General features: G+C 50.0%; 1 protein-coding gene and 1 non-coding gene across 2 annotated transcripts in view, besides 2 other annotated features; one reads left to right on the top strand and one right to left on the bottom strand.

The window, feature by feature from the left end:
* Nucleotides 1-16,891, bottom strand: part of RRM2 (ribonucleotide reductase regulatory subunit M2) — an 88,443-nt gene that overhangs the window by 54,933 nt on the left and 16,619 nt on the right. The window contains exons 10-11 of the transcript NR_164157.1: nt 14,124-14,224; nt 13,703-13,823 (exon numbers count right to left, since the gene is read on the bottom strand). The gene's annotated coding sequence lies outside the window, so the exon portion shown is untranslated. The remainder of the gene's footprint in view (nt 1-13,702; nt 13,824-14,123; nt 14,225-16,891) is intronic.
* Nucleotides 872-1,006, top strand: LOC124906144 (small nucleolar RNA SNORA2/SNORA34 family). The gene has a single exon (XR_007088718.1). It is a non-coding gene; the product is annotated as a small nucleolar RNA SNORA2/SNORA34 family (small nucleolar RNA).
* Nucleotides 12,748-13,409: an enhancer, noted in NCBI's record as "H3K4me1 hESC enhancer chr2:10282796-10283457 (GRCh37/hg19 assembly coordinates)". NCBI's record gives its function as "activates a minimal SCP1, AML or CMV promoter by ChIP-STARR-seq in primed H9 embryonic stem cells {active_cell/tissue: H9 hESC(primed)}" and the evidence as "EXISTENCE:reporter gene assay evidence [ECO:0000049][PMID:30033119]".
* Nucleotides 13,434-13,483: a silencer, noted in NCBI's record as "silent region_11159". NCBI's record gives its function as "represses an Ori minimal core promoter by ATAC-STARR-seq in GM12878 lymphoblastoid cells {active_cell/tissue: GM12878}" and the evidence as "EXISTENCE:reporter gene assay evidence [ECO:0000049][PMID:35858748]".

Genomic DNA, 16,891 nt, shown 5'->3' with positions numbered 1-16,891 from the left:
GGCTTACTGGGGTGCCAGCAGGGTTCTTCCTGTAGACTCAGGCAGACTCAGGCCAGAGAAACCCAGTCCTCAGGAGAGCAGTGTGGGCTGGCGGGCTCTGGAGTCAGACATCCCGCTCTGGAAGATGACCTGAGTGGCTCTGCCTGCGGTGCACAAGCTCCTTGGGCTGTAGCCTCCTTATCCTCAACAGAGAGCCCATGTCATTGTGCGAACTTTCACCTCGCTAGGGGCACAGTGGAGCCAGGTAACCCTGACTCAGCGCTGCTTCCCAGGGAGGGGACGCAGCTCTGGGCGAACTCTTTGCCACTGTTCTGGAGGAAATCCAGCTGGAGAGCACTGGAAGTGGAGGGCCAGTGTCTCCCAGGTCAGGCCCAGTGGCTCATGGGTCTGCAGCTGCTGATGATCAAATGAAGATCAGAGGCGTTTAGGCAGAAAGGAGGCATTCTGGACTGGAACAGAAGAGGGGGAGGAATCAGAGGGTGGAGGAGAGCCCGGGAACCCCTCAGTAATGGGGAGTGGGAGACCAGATACCCACCCCACCCCTCATTTCATAGTAACGAAACCAGGGCCTGGCAGTGCGGCCTGAGCTGGGGACACACCAAGCTCAGTCTAATTCCAGGCCCACATCCCCTCCACTCCTCCCTCCGGGCTGCCCCCTGGCTCACCGGCTGGATGGATGAATGAGCAAGGTACCTTCTGTCCACAGCAAAAGGGCATAGAGAGAAAACCCAGAGGAGGGAGCCTCATGTAGCCAGGTGGAAATTAACAATAATACTCAGATGTACAAAATACTTATTTATTTCTCTGCAATTTATCTAACCATTTTCACAAGACTCCATGAATGTAAACTTGCTAATTAAAGAAACCCCATTAGGCCCTGAATCAAGACTAGTGTTTTGCTGTAGCTGTTGGTTTCAAACAGGATCCGAGAGTGATGTCTTCCTTGTGGTCTGTTCACTGCTCAGTATCCCAGTGTCAGTGGCCAATTCAGTTGGAAGCAACATGGTCTTGAATATAAAGCCACTGTTTTTTTTTTTACAGAGCAATTTAACTATGTTAGGCTTAAGAATCAGGAACTTACAGCCCGGGCACAGTGGCTCATGCCTGTAATCCCAGCACTTTGGGAGGCCGAGGCAGGCGGATCACCTGAGGTCGGGAGTTCAAGACCAGCCTGGCCAACATGGAGAAACCACGTCTCTACTAAAAATACAAAATTAGCCAGGCATGGTGGCGCATGCCTGTAATCCCAGCTACTTGGGAAGGCTGAGGCAGGAGAATCACTTGAACCCGGGAGGCAGAGGTTGCAGTGAGCCGAGATCGCGCCACTGCACTCCAGCCTGGGCAACAAGAGTGAAACACAGTCTCAAAAAAAAAAAAAAAAAAAAAGAATCAGGACTTACTCTGTGGAGACAGGGACTTAACCAAAATAATATTTATTAGCCACTCAGCGGAACTTGGTCCTCCTCCTTTCTTCCCACCTCCTCCCTTTCCCCCTCAAGATCACTTGCTTGCTTTGTGACTGTTAGGATATTGACCATGCAACCTCATACTGCCTGATAATTTTTTTTTTTTTTTTTTGAGATGGAGTCTCGCTCTGTCACCCAGGCTGGAGTGCAATGATGCCATCTTGACTCACTGCAACCTCTGTGCGCCCACCCCCCACCCAACCACCCACCAGGTTCAAGCAATTCTCCTGCCTCAGCCTCCCAAGTAGCTGGGACTACAGGTGTGTGCCACCACACCCAGCTAATTTTTGTATTTATTTTAGTAGAGGCGAGGTCTCGCTATGTTGGCCAGGCTGGTCTAGAACCCCTGACCTCAAGCGATCTGCCCGCCTAGGCCTCCCAAAGTGCTGGGATTACAGGCGTGAGCCACCACGCCCAGCCTGCCTGGCAATATTTAATTTTAATTCACATTTATGCTGATGGTCCATACTTCAGTTCATCACTGGGGAACTTAGGTGTTGACTACAGCTAACTAACCCCAGAGGGAATATGCTTTTTTAAAAATACTCTTTAATTGTGGTAAAACATAGGTAACCCAATGTACCATTTTAATCATTTTTAACTGTGCCATTCAATGGTATTATGAATATTCACAATCTTGTGCAACCATCAACAATTTCTTTTCCAGAACTTTTCCATCAGCCCAAACAGAAACTCTACCTGTTCAACAGCACCTCTCCCTTCTCCCCTCCCCAGTCCCTGCTATTCTACTGTCCTATTTTCCATCTCTATAAATTTTCCTGGGAATTTGCTTTTTTAAGCCACTATACTGGTCTGTGTTTTATACTTGGCAGCAAGAAAAAGTTCTCAGTGCTTTTGGGTCTTGTCTTATTTGTTGGACATTCTGGTAAAATCATTTTTGGATTAAAGGTAGGCAAGGGGTGAGGGAGGGAGCAGAGAATCGCTGTGAGGCTTGCTGAGAACTATGCCAATCTTAGCTTACTGTTTCCCTTGGTATTGCTGATGGCTTTTCCTCTTTTTTTCCTAGAGAAGAAAAAAACAGAAACCTCGGCCTATATGGGGCCTTGTATAATAGCTTGACACAGCAGAGGAGCTGGTGGGTCCTCTCTCTCCTCCCAGAAACCGGCTCAAAGAGAACAGAAAAATAAACCCCAATCTCCAACCTCATACCATACACAAAAATTAACTAACAAGGCAGCAGAGACCTAAATGTAAAAACTATGAAGTACCTAGAAGAAAACATCTTTGTATCGCAGAGTCAAAAAAGATCTTTTTTTGGAGACAGGGCCTCACTCTGTCACCCAGGCTGGAGTGCAGTGGCATGATCTTGGCTCACTGCAACCTCCGCCTCCTAGATTCAAGTGATTCTCCTTCCTCAGCCTCCCGAGTAGCTGGGACTACAGGTGCGCGCCAGCACACACTCAGCTGATTTTTGTATTTTTGGTAGAGACAGGATTTCACAATGTTGGCTAGGCTGGTCTCAAACTCCTGACCTCAAGTGATTCACCTACTTTGGCCTCCCAAAGTGCTGGGATTACAGGCATGAGCCACCACACCCGGCCCTTTGATCCCTTCATTCATCAACACCTAGGTTGTTTCCATATCGTGGCTAATGTGAATAATGCTGCAATTAACACAGGAGTGCAGCTATCTTTACAAGGTGGTGATATAATTTCCTTTGGTCAGTCATATGGTAGTTCTATTTTTTATTTATTTAGAAACCTCCATACTGCTTTCCATAATGGCTGTACCAATCGACACCCCCACCAACCATGTCCAAGAGTTCCCTTTTCACCACAGGGAAAGATTTCTTAAGAATAGTACACAGGGGCCAGGTGTGGTGGCTCTTGCCTATAATCCCAGCACTTTGGGAGGCCGAGGCAGGCAAATCACCTGAGGTGAAGAGTTCGAGACCAGCCTGGCCAACATGGTGAAACTGCATATCTACTAAAAATGCAAAAATTAACCACACATGCTTGCGGGCGCCTGTAATCCCAGCTACTTGGGAGGCTGAGGTGGGAGAACTGCTTGAGCCCAGGAGGCCAAAGCTGCAATGAGCCAAGATCACACCACTGCACTCTGGCCTGGGTGATACAGCGAGACTCAAAAAATAAAAAATTAAAAAAAAAAAAAAATAGTACACAGAAAACATAAACTATAAAAGAAAAAAAAGCAACAGTAAATTGGACTTCACCAAAATTAAGTCTTTTACTTTTTCAAAAGACACTGAATAAAATGAAAAAGAAGGGCACAGACTACAGAAAATATTTACAAGTCATATATCTGATAAAAGACGTGTAACTAGAATAAAGAGCTGTTAAACCTAATATATAACACAACTCGATATTTTTAAATGGGCAAAGGGGCCGGGCATGGTGGCTCACACCTGCAATCCCAGCACTTTAGGAGGCCGAGGCAGGCGGATCACGAGGTCAGGAGATCGAGACCATCCTGGCTAACATGGTGAAAGCTTGTCTCTACTAAAAATACAAAAAATTAGCTGGGCGTGGTGGCGGGCGCCTGTAGTCCCAGCTACTCGGGAGGCTGAGGCAGGAGAATAGCATGAACCTGGGAGGCGGAGCTTGCAGTGAGCCGAGATGGGGCCACAGTACTCCAACCTGAGTGACAGAGCAAGACACTGCCTCAAAAAAAAAATAAAATAAAAAATAAAAAATAAATGGGCAAAGGATTTGAACAATTCACCAAAGATGGTGTACATATAAAAAATAAGTACATTTAAAAAGGCTCATGCCAGTTGTTATTGGTGAAATGTACATGAAAACCACAAGGATATACACTAGACACCCACTCGGAGGGCTAAAATGTAAAAGATTGGCCATGCCAAGTGTTGGCAAGGGTATGAAGCAACTGGGACTCTTGTGTTGCTCTTATGTGCTCAGAGGCATGTAAAGCGGTATGGTCACTTTGAAGAGCAGTTGGGTCACTTCTTAAAAAGTGAAACCTACTATATGACCCAGTCATTCTGCTCCTATGCACCTCCTCAACAGCAATGTGGCCAGGTGTGGTGGCTCACGCCTGTGATCCCAGCACTTTCGGAGGCCAAGGCAAGCAGATCACGAGGTCAGGAGTTCAAGACCAGCCTGGCCAACATAGTGAAACCCCATCTCTACTACAAATACAAAAAAAATTAGCTGGGCTGTTGGTGGGCACCTGTAGTCCCAGCTACTTGGGAGGCTGAAGCAGGAGAATCGCTTGAACCAAGGAGGCAGAGGCTGTAGTGAGCCAAGATCGCACCACTGCACTCCAGTCTGGGCAACAGAGCAAGACTCTGTCTACAAAAAAAAAAAAAAAAAAATCTACATGCAGACTGGCAGCAACTTGATTCATCATAGCCAAAAGCTGGAAACAGCCCCAATGTCCATCACCAGGTGAATGGATGAATAAATATGGCATAGCCATACAATGAAATGCAACACAGCAATAAGAAGGAATGAACCATTGTTATATACAACTGATGGACTTCAAAATAACTATGCTAGGCCAGGCGTGGTGGCGCATGCCTGTAATTCCAGCAATGGTAGGCCAAGGCGGGTGGATCACCTGAGGTCAGGGGTTTGAGACCAGCCTGGCCAACATGGTGAAACCCCATCTCTACTAAAAATACAAAAAATTAGTCGGGCGTGGTAGCAGGCACCTGTAATCCCAGCTACTTGGGAGGCTGAGGCAGGAGAATCGCTTGAACCCAGGAGGTGGAGGTTGCAGTGAGCCGAGATCGCGCCATTGCACTCTAGCCTAGGCAACAAGAGCAAAACTCTTTCTCAAAAGAAAAAAAAACTATGCTAAGTGAGAGAAACCACATCAAAAAAAAAAAAAAAAAAACACAACACACTGTAGGATTCTATTTACATGAAATTCTAGAAAATGTAAACTCTGGCGACGGAAAGCAGTCAGTTTGTCTGAAAATGGGAGTGGAGGTAAGAAACAGCATGAGGAAGCTGTGGAGGGTGACAGGATGTCTAGTGGCTGATGGTTGTGACAGCTGCATGGGTGTATACATATGTCAGAACTTACTAATAACACATTCAATAGGCGCAGTTTATTGTATGTCAATTATACACCAATAAAGTCGAAAAAAAAAAATCATCCCATAGTAACAAGGAGAAAGAGAAACAGGATGCAAACGCCATCTTTTTTTTTTTTTTTTTGAGGCAGAGTCTCGCTCTGTCGCCAGGTTGGAGTGCAGTGGCGTGATCTCGGCTCACTGCAACTTCCACCTCCCAGATTCAAGCGATTCTCCTGCCTCAGCCTCCCCAGTAGCTGGGATTATAAGCACCTGCCACCGTGCCTGACTAATTTTTTGTATTTTTAGTAGAGATGGGGTTTCACCGTGTTAGCCAGGATGGTCTCGATCTCCTGACCTCGTGATCCACCCGCCTCGACCTCCCAAAGTGCTGGGATTACAGGCTTGCACCACCACGCCCGGCTAATTTTGTGTTTTTAGTAGAGATGGGGTTTCACCTTCTTGGCCAGACTGCTCTCGAACTCCTGGGCTCAAGCAATCCACCCGCCTCGTCCTCCAAAAGTGCTGGGATTACAGGCATGAGCCACTGCGCCCAGCTACACTCCATTTCCAATGGAAACAGATGAGAGATGAAACCCAAACTAGAAACGAGTCAGAGGGTTGCCCAGGCAGGAAATACCACACAGATGTTTGGGAAGAAGCAGTGAGAAGGGATCACACTGCCCACCAACCAACGTCCCTTATCTGCATGAGCAGGAGTGGGGCCTGTGATCTCATGACAGTGGCATGTGAGATACAGGTAAGCTTGGAACCAAGAAGCAGAAGCAGCAGATCAGACACAGACAATCACACAGACAAGCCACACTTGCAGGCAAAAAGAGGAATCACCAGACTGCACATGAGCAGCCCTACAACTGCACATGGCACTGGGTGTAGTCCTCGCTTCTTCTCCCACACAAACCTCTGGCAAATAGATGGTTGAAGAAAAACTTACCTTGCCCAAAGATGAGAAATAAAAAAGCAAACAGCGCAGCATCTACAGGAAGACACTGCAAGAATTAAAAAATAAAAACGAGAAAAGGAACAGGAAAAACAAGTGGCAAGTGAAAACTCACTAGTAAAAATGTTGTCATAGAACAGATGAAAATTGCCAGCAAACTTTTCGCTGAAAATTAAACAACAACAAAAATTAATAAAGCAGGGCTGGGCGCAGTGACTCACACCTGCAATCCCAGCACTTTGGGAGGCTGAGGCGGGCAGATCACCTGAGGCCAGGAGTTCGAGACCAGCCTAGCCAACACGGCAAAACACCATCTCTACTAAAAATACCAAAATTAGCCGGGCATGGTGGCGCAAGCCTGTAATCCCAGCTACCTGGGAGGCTGAGGTAGGAGAATCGCTTGATCCCAGGAGGCAGAGGTTGCAGCAAGCTGAGATCCCACCACTGCACTCCAGCCTGAGCAACAGAGTAAGACTCCATCTCGAAAAAAAAAAAAAAAATGAATACAGCAATCCTCTCCAGAAAGCAAGCACACAAAACAGATATGAGAGCTCAGGGGGAACATGAAACTGGAGCTGACAGAGCTGGAGAAAGAAGGAAAAACATCGTATCTTCAAAGTCATGATGAAATGGAAAGGTGCGCAGAGGAGCATCAAATATTGCTCAAGACACAATCAAGACACTGAGAACAAGACTGAGGAAAGTGAGCAAAAGGAAATGAAAATGAACGGTGTAAAGAGATTACAGAGAAAATTACAGATTTGGAAGATCTACAAAGGACCCATCATATATCCCAGAATAGAAAACTCAAATAGGGGAACATAAATATTTAAAGATATCATTCAAGAAAATTTTCTTGAAGTAAAAGAAGATAAATCTACAAACTGAAAGGGCACACCATGTCTTGGGGAAAATGACAAAAATCTGTCAATAACAAGGTAATTTCTATGAAAGTAACTAGACTAAAAATATAAAAGAAAGGGGGAAACAGCTAAATAAAAAAGACTTTGGACAGTCAAGTGAAAACATCAATTCATAAAGGGTAACAAAATAGAAGTTAGACTCAGACTTTCCCACAGTGGCATTTAACTCTAGAGACAGAAGTGACATCTGTGAAGTTCTCAAGGAAAGAAAGTGTGGCCTAAGAATTTTATATTCTGGAAAGCTGTCAATCAAACACAAAGACTAGAAACCTTTTTGAACTTGCAATAACTGAATATTTTTTTTTCATTTAGTCCCTTTTGATTAAACTACTGGAGAAGGAATTTCAGCAAATCAAGAGAAAAATAGGAAAACTTCAGCAAGAGAACTGACAGTGAGCAATGAATCTACCTGTAGGGCAATGTGAGTGAGGATTAAGGACATATATAAATATAAACCATGAATTTAGAAATGATACATTAAACAAAAATTGGGAAGAAAAGAAAGAAGGAGAGAGTTGTTAGTATCTGATTTCTTTTTTTTTTTTTTTTTTTTTTTTTTTTTTGAGTCAGGGTCTCACTCTGTTGCCCAGGCTGGAGTGCAGTGGCATGATCCTGGCTCATGGCAACCTCCACTTCCCAGGTTCAAGCAATTCTCCTGCCTCAGCCTCTGGAGTAGCTGGGATTACAGGCGCCTGCCACTACGCCTGGCTAACTTTGTATTTTTACTAGAGACAGGGTTTCACCATGTTGGCCAGGCTGGTCTCAAACTCCTGACCTCGAGTGATCCACCCGCCTCAGCCTCCCAAAGTGCTGGGATTACAGGCGGGAACCACCACACCTGGTCTAAGTCTCTGATTTCTTTATCTTTCTTATGGGGGAGGGGGCAAAAATAAGAAAAAGATAGCATAGAGGTATAAGTACATTTTAAAGACAAACACTAAGAAATATAATCTAAAATTAGATGGCAAAAAAGGAGAAGGGGTAAGAGAAAATACACACTTTTCATAAGTGTTTTTAGTAGGAAACATACTATTGAAAAAGGAATTCAAGGCGAATGCAAAGGCTCACACCTGTAGTCTCAACATTTTGGAAGGCCAAGGTGGGTGGATGGCTTAAGCCCAGGAGTTTGAGAAACTTATCTCTAGCCGGGCGTGGTGGCTCACGCCTGTAATCCCAGCATTTTGGAAGGCTGAGGTGGGCAGATTTGCTTGTTGCCTGGGCAACAGGGCGAAACCCTGTCTCTACAAAAAAAATACAAAAATTAGCTGGGTGTGGTAGTGCATGCCTGTAGTCCCTGATACTCAGATGAGGTGGGAGGATCACTTGAGCCCAGGAGGTTGAGGTTGCAGTGAGCTACAACTGTGCCACTGCACTCCTGCCTGGGCAACAGAGTGAGATTCTGTCTCAAAAACAAAACAAAACAAAAAAAAACCCTTATCTTTAAATAAAGAAACTAAGCCGGGCCCAGTGGCTCACACGTGTAATCCCAGCACTTTGGGAGGCCGAGGTGGGCAGATCACGCGGTCGAGAGATCAAGTCCATCCTGGCCAACAAGGTGAAACCCCATGTCTACTAAAAATGCAAAAATTAGCTGGGCGTGGTAGTGCGCGCCTGTAATCCCAGTTACTCAGGAGGCTGAGGCAGGAGAATCGCTTGAACCCGGGAGGCAGAGGTTGCAGTGAGCCAAGATCACGCCACTGCGCTCCAGCCTGTCAACAGAGACTCCATCTCAAAAAAATAAATAAAAATAAATAAAGAAACTAAAGTATACATCTAAAACAGGAAGTTAGAAAAGAAACAAACCTTTAAAAAGTAGATAGAAAGAATACACAAAAAGTGAAAATGGATTAGAAATGAACACGCACCCAAACGCAGGCATTTCCTCACTACCTGTGTACACTTTCCCCGTGCTCAAAACGGGGGCAAGGCTGGGGGTCGCTGCCCTTGCACTGCCCTCTCCTCTCCCTCCTCCTCCTCCCTACCCTTCCCGGGGCTTACCAGGCACCCTCTCAAGGCCTGATCCATCCCCACCCCATCTCAGCTCTCCTGCGCCCTCCAAGCATGGCCCACCTGCAGCAGGGGCAGAGCGAGGAGCATGCGCTGGGGGGAGGGACAGAGGGGACACAGCGTTGCCCAGTGCAAGGGGGCTAGCAGCCCCCAGAAGGCAACCTGTCCGTGCAACGGCTGAATGGATGGACCAGCAGGTGGCAGGTGGGGACAGAGGGGAGACACAGGGCCACTTACACCCCTTCCCTATTCCGCAGAGCAGAGGCGCCCCACCCTAGCTGCACATGAGAATTACCAGGGAGCTTTAAAAATACCAGGGTCTCTAAGTCCCTTCTCCATACACTCTGATTGAATCAGTTCGTGTCTTTCCACATTGGTCATCTGGTTCCAAAAAGCAAGGTGCACTGGGGAAAGAGGCAGCCCAGGGCATGGAAAAGAGAGGGGGCTCTGGAGCCATCGTTTGGAGTTTAAGCCCTGTCTCTGCCTCTCACTGGCTGTGTGATCTCAGGCTGGCACCTTAACCTCCCTGAGCCTCAAGGTCGCCATCCGTAAGATATGCTTCCCTCCCAGAAGGGGCTAGGGATGGGTGATTGTACATGTAAACCCTTCTGCTGGTGCAGGGTGCCCAGGATGAGTGTGAGAAGGAGGGCTGCCATGGTTCCCCTGCAGCCACCTCTGACTCTCGGCAGGTAGGCTAGGCTCCAGGACCACCTGCCCCCTCTGGGGAGTGCAGATGTGAGCGAGACCCAGGGGGTGGGGGCAGCCTTGGATCCACAGTCCCAGCTTCGGAGGCTATTCTGGTTCCAATTCAGAATCCCTGGCTCCTGGCTCAATGGGCTTTGTCCCAGAGATGTAATTTCTATTTTGATTCCATGTGACATTTAATGAAATGGCTTTCAGACACCACACAGTGACGGAGTTATGAAACCACAGCTTCTGGATCCTCAACACGCCTCACGATGACAGGACCCCTCTTGCTGCTTAGGGAGCTGCCCCAAGTCTCTTGAGGCCTGGGGCCCAGGACCACTGAGGTGGGGTCTTCACTGCGGAGTCCCTGGGGTCTGCCCCAGGCCCACTGTCTGGCACCCACGTCTCATCCTAGCTGGACTCACAGCAGCCTCTGCCTGGGTTCCCGCCTCAGTCTCCCTCTTGCCAATCCAGTGTTGTTCTAACTGCAGATCAAAAATATTCAGGGAGAGAGGAAGCCAATGTAGAGGATTGCAAACAGCATTGTTCATAGAACAAATGAGCCAGAATAGAAGCAGAACAGAACACGCCAGAACGAGCTGCACATGGCAAGGGCGACTGCAGCTCACAAGCCTGGGCTGCGAGTGTGCACACTAGGTCTCTATGTATGGGAATTTGAGAAAGTTTGAATGACGTGGCTCTAACTCACCACCGTGCCACTCCCCAGTTACAACTTTCGGGATGGACTTCAGACCCCTCAGCACAGCACTAAAAACCCCTCCAGACCTGGCCCCTGTCTACCCACCCACCTGGCCCACAGCCAACTCCAACCACACTGAGCCACTGGGTACTGCAAACTCTGCCAGGAGCTCCCATACCTGCCTGGAATGCAAGAGCCTCCCTCCTCTCTCCAGGCCTCCTTCCCTCCCTCCTTTCCCTCCCGCAGCTTCCACTCTCCCACAGACTCCTACAGATCCCTTACCCTTCAAGGGAAAGGCCACCTCCTCTTTGGTGTCTCCCTGATTCCCCAGCAGCCTTGGGGGCTCCCGGCCCGGTGCTCATGCTACATGGTGTACACTTTGCATAACACGGTCACCCCCACCAGCCAGTGGGGTCATTGTTTTCATGCCTCCCCGCCCTTCCCCCAGTGGGCAGCTAGGACTTCCCTCGAGGGGCTGGCTGAGCTCCTTGGTGCTCAATGTCGTACCATTTACTGACGGCAAGTGCAGGCTGACACCGGGGCCTCTCCCAGGTGACCCTCTCCACATGCTGACCCTCCCTGGGTAAAGACAACCTCCTAGATTCTATAGAAGCAAAGATATAAATATCTCCGGAGCCCTTCCGTTCAAAAGGAAGTAGAAGCCCTACAATTTCTCAACAACTTGGCTATTAAAAATAGGAATTCCACCTACACACCAGAACAGTTTGTTGCGGATCATGGAAGGGCCAGAATCGTGAGGTCACATGTGTTTGGGACTGAGAAAGCTGCTGGACCCAAAAGCTGAGCACTGTAAGAAGGCAGGCAGCTGTCTGCAGCTGGTGCTACAGCCCCGAGGCCCCAGAAATCTCTAGAACCACAGGGATGCCGAATGGTACTCTGCCAAGAGTTTTATAAAACTCACTTCCCCACCACATCATGTGAACATCTGCACAGCACAGGTTCCAAAGGAAATTGAAAAAGAAATAAATCGTGCATTAGCAAGCGTATCTGAGACCTCGTCTCTGACCTTGGAAGAGTGTGAGGAGATGCCTCAGACGCCGGCTCCTGCTGCCACCTCCTCCCACTCCCCGTCCTCAAAACAGAGCCCCAGACCCGGCCCAGAGTTGGGGTCCCCTGAGGATTCAGTCTTCCACATTCATTTCCTGGCCCTCAAGGCCTGAAGCTCCATCCTTCCGCTACCCCCTTGGGTTACAGGAGAGTCCCCAACAGGCGCTGTGCGTGAATAGTGATGGCAGAGCGGACATGCATTCTGTCAGATCCACAGCCACTCCAGAGACAGCCTTGGTGGAGACGGGAGAGGAGGAAGGGGAAGAAAGTGGGCAGAGGGGCCGGGTGTGGTGGCTCACGCCTGTAATCCCAGCACTTTGGGAGGCCAAGGCGGGCGGATCACAAGATCAAGGGATCGAGACCATCCTGGCCAACATGGTGAAACCCCGTCTCTACTACAAATACAAAAATTAGCTGGACACGGTGGTGCACACCTGTAGTCCCAGCTACTCGAGAGGCTGAGGCAGGAGAATTGCTTGAACCCAGGAGGCGGAGGTTGCAGTGAGCCAAGATCGTACCACTGTACCACCTGGCGACAGAGCAAGACTCCGTCTCAAAGAAAAAAAAAAATTGTGCAGAGGTAGCGAGCCCCACTGATGACTCCCACTCTGGGGGCCAGGGACTCCAGTCATGATCTCAACCAGGCCCCCCCAGTGCAACCTGCACGTTACCGTGTCAGACACAGCAGCTTCCCCTGCGGGTCACTCACTCGCTCATTCATTCAACAACACTGAGAGTGCCTGGCCAGGTGCTGGCTGAGCACACCGGAGGACACGGACCCCATCCCTGCCCTCAGGGCACTCAGCTGGAACAAGGCATCAGAAAAGTGTACGATTCTGTGCACTTTGGATAGTATGAAAAAGCGAAGTGGTAAACACTTGGGGCCATGAGGGCTCTGAGGAGGCCCCTAATCTGGCCTCACTGGGTCTGAGGAGGTTCCCAGGGAAAGTGACCTGTAAGTTGAGACCTGAAAGATCAGGAGCGGGTGGGTGGGGACAAAGTCCAGGCTAAGGGAACAGCCTGTGTGAAGGCAGGAGGCTAGAGGATGTGGTGTTTAAGAAGCTCAGGCTCAGGCCAGGCATGGTGGCTCACGCCTGTAATCCCGGCCCTTTGGGAGGCCAAGGCAGGCAGATCACGAGGTCAGGAGATCAAGACCATCCTGGCTAACACGGTGAAACTCTGTCTCTACTAAAAATACAAAAAATTAGCCAGGCGAGGTGGTGGGCGCCTGTAGTCCCAGCTACACGGGAGGCTGAGGCCGGAGAACGGCATGAACCCAGGAGGCAGAGCTTGTAGTGAGTCGAGATCGCGCCACTGCACTGCAGCCTGGGTGACAGAGCAAGACTCTGTCTCAAAACCAAACAAAACAAAACAAAAAAGAAGCTCAGACTCAGGAAGGTTCAAGGCAGAGGTGAGCGGGGAGCCCGCGGGCACCTGGGCTCAGGCAGGGCCGAGAGCTGCGGTGAGGGGAGGGGCTCATGCAACACAGCCACATCGTCTGAGGTGCTGCCCGAGACCATTCCAGATGCTATGTGTGCAATGGACTGGCGGAGGGTGAAGGTGGGGTGGGGGATCTGGCCATGGTGGGGGCCTGAGCCTGCAGGGATACGGCTATACTGAGCACTGGAATGGGAGGGGGATCGCAGGACCGTGCTGTCTGGGGCATGGGGTGAGGGACATGGGAGGGCGAAGCTCCCCCGCCTGGCCACACGTAGAACGGCAGAGGCTGGCAGTACCTGGATTTCCGACCTGGCAGGGGTGCGTGGGGGCCCTGTACACTGAGCTAGGAAACAGCAGATGACAGGCCCCGCAAGCCACCTCCACAGTGGCCCCTCTTCCCCCACCGTGCGAGTTGCCATCATTTCTCACCTGAAAGCTGCAACTGCCTCCCGCTTCCACTGGCGCACCCCGAGTAACACCTGACACGCAGAAGCAGGGGATTCCCTTTCAAGACGTAAGGCTGGTCAGACCTTCCCGAGCTTCTCATCCCCTTAGAAATGAAATCCAGACTCTTTACCTGGGTCTGCAGACCTGCATGTACACACCCACTCCACTGACCCAGCCCCATCTCCCACCCCTCACTCTGCTCTGACCACTCACAGACGCGCCTGCCACAGGGCCTTTGCGCTTGCCCACCCTCCGCCTGAAACATGCTTTCCTCCCCTAACCACGTGGTCGATCCCCACATCCTCTGGCTCCCTCTGGCTCCCCACATGAAAGAGCAAGGGGCATAGCCCGCCCCTTCCTCCCTGCTTTCCTTGTCTTCAGAGCTTGTCACCGTCTGACTTACCGCACACTGGGTGGGTGATTGGTCTCCATCTCCCTCACTGGCGTGCTGTCTCCCCGAGGGCCTGGACTCCATCTGCTTTGCACTTCACGGTCTCCCAGCACCTGCAGCAGTGCATACAGGAGGGCTCAGTGACTGCATGCTGGAGCAACCGCCTCCCAGCCCCAGCCCCAGCCCCAGGCCATGGCCACCTCCTGGGGCTCTGTTTCCCGTGCTTGGAACAGTACCCCACCCTCACCTGCTCTTTCCTTCCCAAGAACAGGTCGAGGTCTCTTGCCCTCCTTCCTGCCTCCCCGCTTCCCAGAGCTAATCATACCCTCCTCCGTGTGATCTTGGAATCCTTAAGCACATGCATTCTTGACTCCAAGACCAGACACCAGGCCTCCTCCATTCCAGCACAACCACAGTTAATAGCCACTGTCCACCACCATGTGCCCAGACCTCTGCTGGCAGTGACCAAGGATGCAGAAGCAGAAGATGCACACCCACGAGGGCTGGCAGTCTCCCTGGAGAGGGCACACTAACATGGGGACAACATCCTAGCACAGCATGAGATGCGTGTCAGTGAGCGTAGCTAGGTGGCACCAACTCCCTAAGGCTCAGAGTGAGACATGGGGGTGGGGGGAGGGGATGGAGGGAAGATGGGATGGGAGGTGCCAGTTTTGCCACCCACAGACTTAACCTGAGTCCCAGAGCACATAACTGGTCAACAGCAGAGCTGGGCCTGGCTGGGTCCATCGGGCTCCAAGCCAGCGGTTTCTGAACTCAGAATGGCCCCCATTGGCCGACCTCTTTGGACAGAAGCAACTAACTCCCACCTCTCCACGAAATCCCAAGCTCCTAAGCAACTTCCAGAGGCTACAGCACAATAGTGAGCAGACACACAACTCACAACGTGGGCCCCGCACATGACAGCGACGTGGGCGAGATGCAGCCCCAGCCGCCAGTTCACAGGAGCGAGGGCTGCCAGCCTCCACATGCCCGGGGCACCTCCTCCTAACCCTGGTCCAGAGCTCAGGGTCCCTCTCCCTAAAGCCCACCTGAGACCCAGAATAGCCTTCTGCCTGGGTAGCTGCTTCCCCTGGTGGCTGCGAGTGCTCATCAACACTTATTATAAGAACATTATAGGAAAATTTAAACAGAAAAATAGAATAGAAAGAAAAACTGCTCTTACTCCCAACCTGCCCCCTAAGGCACCTTTTCATTTCTCCACGTGGGACACCTTCCTCTCTATCCATATGTACACATTTTTATGACAACGTAAGCACAGTATACCCATAACTTTACGTTCTGCTATTTTATCATTTTCCTGTAAACAGCTTTCCCTGTGTTTAAATGTGATCTGTGTATTTCTCATCTAGAGTGACTGGTTAGCACTCCATTAATAACCGGCTCTCTGAGCAGGCACCCTGCTGGCTCAGCCACCACCAATGCCATCCACTACTTTCCCATCAGGTCCACTACGGAGCTCTCAGGAACATGGTCAGGCCTTACTCAGAGCTCATCAAGCATTTTCTGTAAAGATAGAAAATACAGACCACAGCAGCTATTCCAGTCTCTTATCCATGGTGAAGGCAGCCACAGACCATACGTAAACAAACAAGTGTGGCTGCGCCCCAACGAAGCTATTTATGGGCCCTGAAATTTGAATTTCATAGAATCTTCATGCAACACGAAATGTTCTTTTGATTTTTTTTTCTTTTCTTTTTTAGAGACAGAGTCTTGCTCTGTCGCCCAGGCTGGAGTGCAGTGGTGCAATCTCGGCTCACTGCAACCTCCGCCTCCCGGATTCACGCCACTTTCCTGCCTCAGCCTCCCAAGTAGCTGGGACTACAGGTGCCCGCCACCACGCCCAGCTAATTTCTGTATTTTTAGTAGAGAGGGGCTTTCTCTGTGTTAGCCAGGATGGTCTCGATCTCCTGACCTCTTGATCCACCCGCCTCAGCCTCCCAAAGTGCTGGGATTACAGGCATGAGACACCACGCCCAGCCATTCTTTTGATTTTTAAAACATATTCCTAGCTCCTGGTATGTATAAAACCAGGCGGTGAACCAGATCCCACCCACGGGCTATTTCCTGACCCCTGCTCCGTTAACATTGGAGGATCCAGGGGTGGAGGAAGGAAAGTCCTAGAAAGGAGTGGAGGAGGAGGGTGGGAACTGAGGAAGCAAAGGAAGGCCCAACAGACCACTCTCTGTGTTCCAGAAAGTTCTAGGACTTGCTTCCAATTCCCAAGGGGCCTGGGACAGTCCAGCTCTCTGAAACGCCCCAAACAGAGCAAAACCGAAGGCTGGGACCATAGAGATGGCTCAGCACCTCATTTCCTGATGGAGGGGAAGGGTCACCAAGAGAGATGAGAAAGAACAGACCCCAAATCCACTAACTGTCCCCTCATCCGCCCCCAGCAATGTGGTGATTCCAGCCTTTGACACCCCCACTTCTAGTCAGCTTGTCACCAGCTCACAGTGGCAAAAGTCCCCTTCCAGACAATGCCCCACAAGTCTCTTTTTAATGCCAAGTGGCCTAAAATGCCAGGAAAGATCCTTCTGAAATGTAAATCAAACTTCTCTCTGCAAGGAAGACCCATCCTCTGCTGCCCCTGGCATTCTAAATGATCTCTTAGAAATATGAGCCAGTGCCTTTGCCAATAATAACTTCTACTTTAGAAGTGCCAGATCAAACCAGAGAAAGTGGCTCAGTGGCTACCCAGGGCTGAGGCGGCAGACGGGAGACAGGGAGTGACTAAGGGACACGAGCTTTCTTTTTGGGGT

This window comes from Homo sapiens, chromosome 2 (assembly GCF_000001405.40).
Source record: "Homo sapiens chromosome 2, GRCh38.p14 Primary Assembly".
Lineage (NCBI taxonomy): Eukaryota > Metazoa > Chordata > Mammalia > Primates > Hominidae > Homo > Homo sapiens.
This window is presented reverse-complemented; position numbering and strand designations above follow the sequence as displayed.